Source organism: Homo sapiens, chromosome 9 (assembly GCF_000001405.40).
Source record: "Homo sapiens chromosome 9, GRCh38.p14 Primary Assembly".
NCBI lineage: Eukaryota > Metazoa > Chordata > Mammalia > Primates > Hominidae > Homo > Homo sapiens.
The window spans coordinates 5,179,677-5,186,846 of NC_000009.12; the positions used below are offsets into that span (position 1 = coordinate 5,179,677).

Here is a 7,170-nt window from a genome sequence, read left to right on the forward strand (position 1 = left end):
AGATCATGTCCTTTGCAGGGACATGGATGGAGTTGGAAACCATCATTCTCAGCAAACTAATGCAGGAACAGAAACCAAACACCACATGTTCTCACTTGTAAGTGTGAACTGAACGATGAGAACACATGGACACATGCAGGGGAAAACACACACTGGGGCCTGCCTGACAGGGGCCCTGGGGGAAGGGAAAGTATCAGGAGGAATAGCTAATGGATGCTGGGATTAATACATAGGTGATAGGATGATCTGTGCAGCAAACCACCATGACACACATTTATCTATGTAACAAACCTGCACATCCTGCACATGTACTCCTGAACTTAGAAGGTGAAGCAAAAAAAAGAAGTCAATCCTCTTCAAATTAGTGTATATATTCTGTTGTGGGAAGTCAGGGACCCTGAACGGAGGGACCGGCTGGAGCCATGGCAGAGGAACATAAATTGTGAAGATTTCATTTTAATATGGACATTTATCAGTTCCCAAATAATACTTTTATAATTTCTTATGCCTGTCTTTACTCTCTTAATCCTGTTATCTTCGTAAGCTGAGGATGTATGTCACCTCAGGACCACTGTGATAATTGTGTTAACTGTACAAATTGATTGTAAAACGTGTGTTTGAACAATATGAAATCAGTGCACCTTGAAAAAGAACAGAATAACAGCAATTTTTAGGGAACAAGGGAAGACAACTGTAAGGTCTGACTGCCTGCGGGGTTGGGCAAAAAGAGCCATATTTTTCTTCTTGCAGAGAGGCTATAAACGGATGTGCAAGTAGGGAAGATATCACTAAATTCTTTTTCCTAGCAAGGAATATTAGTATTAATACCCTGGGAAAGGAATGTACTACTGGAGGGAGGTCTATAAACAGCCGCTTCGGGAATGTCTGTCTTATGTCGTTGACATAAGGACTGATATACGCCCTGGTCTCCTGCAGTACCCTCAGGCTTACTAGGGTGGGGAAAAACTCCACCCTGGTAAATTTGTGGTCAGACTGGTTCTCTGCTCTCAAACCCTGTTTTCTGTTATTTAAGATGTTTATCAAGACAATACATGCACCACTGAACATAAACCTTTATCAGTAGTTCTGCTTTTGCCCTTTCCCTTGTGATCTTTATTGGACCCTTATCAGTAGTTCTGCTTTTGCCATTTGTCCTGTTCCCTCAGAAGCATGTCATCTTTGTTAGACCCTTATTAGTAGTTCTGCTCTTTGCACTTTGAAGCATGTGATCTACTCCCTGTTCTTACACCCCCTCCCCTTTTGAAACTCTTAACAAAAAACTTGATGGTTTGAGGCTCAGGCCAGCATTAGAGTCCTACTGATATGTGCTGTCACCCCCGGCGGCCCAGCTGTAAAATTCCTTTCTTTGTACTCTTTATTTCTCAGCCAGCGGACACTTATGGAAAATAGAACCTACATTGAAATATTGGGGGCGGGTTCCCCTGATAATATTCCACGCATCCCAAATAAAATTCCATGTGGACTTTTAAAAAAGAAATTCAATAAGCATACTTTTAAATATATATGAAAGAATAAAGGTTGAAGATTTAGGTTAGTCAATCCTAAGGGAAAAAATAAACATTGAAGACTTGTCCTGCCAGATAAATGACATCCTATAGAGTCACAGTATCAAAAATAGTAACGATAAAAGGCCAAATAAATGACCAATTAAATAAAATAGAAAGCTCAAACTTATCAGTAATGGTTATCCCACAAATTAGTGAGAAAAATAATTGATTAGTAGAAAGTGTTCAGAAAACTAGCTCCCTATGTAGAGAAAAAAAGACTTACTGAGAAAGTGAGGTAATATTCCTACCGAGACCAGAACTAAAAATTAGCCTAATAATTAAGGACTTAATGTGAAAAGTAAAACTGAAAAGTTAACAGAAGGACAGAAAAGGACCTCTAATACATAAGGCAAAACACTTACTGCTTAATTATATAAAAGTTAAGGCTTTCTGTCAAGCAACAGCAATAGACAGATGTCAAAATGGGAGAACATATTTGTGACATCTAAAACCAACAACTAGTTGTTACTGTATCTAGATTTGATTAACTCCTATAAACCAACTGGAAAATGATAACAATTCCAACAAGAATTGGGCAAAATATATAAACAGGAAATTTTAAGAGAAAATCCAAAAGGTTAACATGTATATGAAAAGATGTTCAGACCCAGAGCAAGTTAAAATAGAAATATAGTGTCATTTTACATCTATTACACTGGTAAAAGTTAATAACTGTATAATGCTAATTGTTGACATAGATATGAGGACACAGGATTGGTGGTGCAACTATACATTGGTGTAGTCACTCTGAAGAGCAATCTGATACTCCTCAGGCAAATTAAACATACACATACTTCATGACACAGCAATTCCACTCTAGATGTGTATCCCAGAAACACTTCTAGGTTCATAAGGGGACACATACAATGATGTTCATGGCAGTGTTATCTGTAGTGGTAGGGAGTTCAAGGCTACATAGGTTAGGTGTTCAAAACTGAATAAATCAGTAAAATGTGAGGAATGCACATGAGTATTATGCAGTAGTTAGAAGCAATGGACTAAATGTTCACATAGCAACAATAAGATATAGATCTTAAATGCCTTTTAGATATATCTTAAAACATATGAACAGGAAAGAATGCATAATTTGCAAAAACTTATAAAAACAAAAAATATATAATAAACACATTACAACAATTGCCAAGGAGAGGAGGAGAATGGGAGTGGAGAAAGGGGCTAAGTGAGGATAATCACCTTCTGTAAATTATAATTTACTTATGTTAATTGTCTATCTTTACTATTCTGTAGGCTTCATGAGGGTAGGAGCCTTCACCGTTTACTCTAACATCCCAATCACCAAGAAGAGTGCCTAACACATGATAGGTACTCAAATTTTGTTGAACTAATATATAAAGAGAAGGGCCCTTTACAGACTAGTTGTGATGATATCTGAAACATAAAGAAACAAAAAAAACAAGAATATGTGACATGAAGACTAAGAATATGGGAATATGATTAATCTAACTGGAATAGGGGTTACAGATTATGAAAAGCTGATTTTGAAACATTAATGATTTCACCTGGCACTAATATCTCGGAAGCACAATACTCAGTCGTAATTTAGAAATATGATGTCAACTTCATGGTGCCACATTACGGGGTAGGTCTTGGAGATACTGCCTCCACCTTCAGGGTCCATTAACAAGAAGCACACAATTACAGATTCAAGATATGTATAAGTAGCTTTGAAAAAAAGCATTTTTTAATAGCAGCGTAGCAAATTATATTTTTCTGTGTCAGACTCAAGTAGATCATCAGGATATTAAAATTTCAGACAACTGACTTGATCTAACACAACAACTTGTCCTGCTGGTAAAAGTGAAATAAAAAGTAATCAACTTTCCAGCCATATTCATATATAAAAATGATGTCATAATTATGTATTCTATATTAGAAACATATACATCTCTGCAACTTCTAAATTATTTCCTAGAAATTAACAGGACAGAATAAATGTCATCTTCCCTTATAGATTAATAATTTTTAAAATTATAATACAATTCATGTTGATAACCTAACCCATTTTTCCTTCCTCTACATATTTCAATACAACTGTGGTTTTACTGTTACATAGTATTTCCACTTCAGCAAACTGTCTTTTACATAGTTTCCATAGTAGCAGGTTTTGTGGGTATAACAATTTTCAAATATTTTCAGATACATTTTTATTTTCTACAAGTCTTGTTTCATTGCAGCTTCCTGCTCATTATTAATGACATTTATTCTTCCAGGGGAGTGTGAATAATACTTAAAACAAAAGGATCATTAACAAGCTGAGTTTTAAGGTTGAACATTTTTATTAAGAAAACTGTCTTTAGAGCACTTTGTTGAGAAAAGGCATTCCAACCTCTCTTTAAATAACAGCCTCAAGCTTGGAGGTCTAAAAATAAAATTTTGACTACAGTATTATAGCATAGGTAGTGAAAGCACAGTATTTGATGTGAGAGAAATGCCCACCCAACATAAAGCAGAAAGGGAAGGCTCTCCTTGCACTCCTGGGAGAAAAGAACAAGAAAGAGGAGTTTAAAAGAAAAAAAAAAGAGAGAGACAGACAGTAAACTGGACCTTGTTACTCAAAAGTGTGGGCCACGAACTAGCAGCACCTGGGAGCTAGTTAAAAACGAAAAATATCAGGCCCCACCCCAGGTCTACTAACTCAGAGTCGGTAAATTAACAGGATTCCCAAATGATTCATATGCACATTAAAGCGTGAGAGTCACTGAACTAAAGTAAAAGTAGAAGACTGGGGAGAGACACTTCCTTCATTATAACAGAAGGACAAGGTGAGGTTTGTATGTGGGTTAGTTTGATGGGTCGGTTTGAAAATGATCATGAATCAGTCTCATGGTTTCTGTCTTTAAAAGTTTTTATTCTTTCAGCAACAGTGACTTTATAAATTCTATTCATTCATTCCAAAAAAGCTAATGAGTGCCTACAATGTGCATTGTTTGACTTTTTTCAGTCCTCTACATTAGGGTCTCTTTTTGGCATGATAGTTTACTCATTTCCTTAATTTCAGAAATCTTCACTTTTACAAGATTTGTCCAAATCAAATCAACTGAATTACTGTAAAAGGCAGTAATCTTCTTCCTATGGATACACTATAAACAAAGTGCAATTTCTTTTAAAATGACAAATCATACTGGGACTAAAATGTCTTAGTCACAAAATGTAAAAACATAGTAAGATATACCAATGAATCTGGAACAAGAATATCCTTCCTGCAGACTGCTTGAAAGCATCAAGTATAAATTCAGCGCATATTAAACACATGCGATGTGCTAGGCCATCTGCTAAGCATTTCAGACAAAAATATGCATGAAATAGTCCCTATAATACAGTATGGTATATAGGGCTGACTTTATGGGACTGAAACCTATGTAGTCACACAGGCCTTGCATTTGGTTTAAATGTTCCTTTGTTGTTCTGAATAAATTTACCTTTGAAACTTTAAGTGAATGAAATACAAGTACGTAAACTCTTAAATGAAGCCTGATAGGAGAACGGACCAGGCCTATCTCCTGGTACGTGACCAGGGGATATGGACAAGTAAGGAAAACAGTTTTATATTTTACTACCTTTATTTTCATGGCCCTTTCCTGCTTTTTTGAACAAGGTACTCTGCATTTTTATCTTCTACAAGGTTGGGCTGATTCTGTAGCCAATGACGACAGTCAAATACAACTATGTGCTAGATACTGTGGTAGAAAGGACAATGGAGCCATTGGCCATGAAAAGGTCAATGATGACTTCACAGGGAAAATGATACTTAAGTTGGGCTTTGAAGGACAAAAAGGAGTTTGCCAGATGACTGGCACTCCAGAAAAGAACAACATTCTTACATAAATATGTAGACTTACAAGTGTACATTTATTTCCTCCAAGTTAAAAAAAAAAGCGCTTCATTGAAGTTTTGTATATTTTCAATACACTGTTTTTTACAATTTTTTAAAGAGCTGTGTACTAGGCACAAATTCCACTTCCTGGGGAAGCTCACCTTCTGGCAGAGCAAATGCAGGAATAAGAAATATACAGAGGTGAACAAACATGCCTTCGGTTTCGATTTTTACCTGGGTTTGTGCCTCTTCCCCGGGCCGGGGAAGCGGTTTGCGGGCTTTCGAACTGGTATGGGCTGTAGGCTTCGACCTTCTCCGAGGCCTGTGCAATCAACCGTGAGAAAGGGGTTTCCTCCTCGAAACGGAACTGGCTCCAGTTGGCATGGCCGCAGAGTTTTTCTATTTCTTTCACCAAGTACCTGCCGCACAGCTTCCTGGCACTGCTGATGTCGCTCAGTTCACGAGAAAACCGAACCAGCAGGAGTCCAAGCCACAGCAGGGACAAGCGGAGGAGCCGCGGCATCCCTGTGACCCCAGGCTAGTCCTCCGCGTTGTGCAATGGCGGTCGGCCGGACCCTGCTCCCTGTCTGCGCCTGCGCCAGGCCGAGCGGCGCGCACAAACACTGCGGAATTCCGAGCGCGTGGGGGCGTCGCCAGAACTTCAAGGGAAGGCGCGCGCCGGCTGCGTCAAGGCTTTCCCGCCAGCTCAGGGGTCTCAGGTGGTCGAAGGTAGCAGGCCCTGGCTCCTAAAATGAAAGCCAAAAATCCCCTCACTACCCCGCCACCCCCTAGTTTGATTCATTTTTCTTTCCTTCCTCAATGGGAGATTCCTCACCAAGCGTGAGAACATAGGATCCCTGTTACCTGATAACGTAGGTTAAAAAGTGTTGCTCCCTCCACCTGGAATGCGTTTCTCGTTCTTGTTTGCCAGGTTGTTAATAAAGCTTCGTCTCCCTCACAGAAACCCCCTGTCATCTCTTTCACGGTGTTAATCGACCTGTTTCCATTTGTGGGCGTGTAACCTCTTTCCTGAGACCCCCGCTTCATGAAGGCAAGGGCCTGCGTCTGTTCTTGCTTTCCATCGTACCCCGGGATCTGGCATTTAGCTGGCAATCAAATATGTGGTGAAACGTTTAAGTGTTGCATATGGCCATGTGCGTTTAGTCAGGTTCAAAGCTTCTTCAGAAAAATCCTACTGGTTCACAGGGAGGCATGGGCCTTAGCCTCAATCTCCAGAAAAAAGAAGTAGGGACGCTGTCTTGAGGTACCTGGGATGGAAATCTGGTTCTTTCGGTTAGATAATGTAGAGGATTGTGTATTACCAAATTAACTTGTGACAGGGACCCCTAGAGGATTTGCCTTGTAAGAATAACAGCATGCAGCATGAAATGCTCATTTAGGTGAGATAATTTTGCTCAGTTAGGAGGGAAGGGGCAGGGAAGCGAAGCGCAATCGGCATAGGTAGCTTTATCATTTTAAATGAAGTTCTGTGTTACTAGTGTGTTGGCGTGGAAGGATGTACTATCGGCCACAAGAGGGCATTCGGTGGCTGTCTCAGGAATAAGGTTCAGGATGCTGAAGCCACAGGTGCAAGCTTATCAGTGATCTCACCATTTCCCTATACAATTTTATTTTTTTCTCCCTTTCTTTTCTGTCTTCTGACTCTATGTCTTTTTCTTAATTTTCCGTTTCCCTATCTTTTCCCTGCTTCCCAGTGGCATCCATGAATGCTGTTAAATTAACTGCCAATTGGATTTTTTAAATGGT

General features: G+C 39.3%; 1 protein-coding gene across 2 annotated transcripts in view; it reads right to left on the reverse strand.

Moving 5' to 3' along the window:
- Nucleotides 1–5,963, reverse strand: part of INSL6 (insulin like 6) — a 193,664-nt gene extending 187,701 nt beyond the window's left edge. For both annotated transcript variants that reach the window (XM_011517702.4, NM_007179.3), the window contains exon 1: nucleotides 5,638–5,963. In XM_011517702.4, coding sequence (XP_011516004.1) covers nucleotides 5,638–5,926 — 289 coding nt within the window. In that variant the 5' untranslated portion in view covers nucleotides 5,927–5,963. The remainder of the gene's footprint in view (nucleotides 1–5,637) is intronic.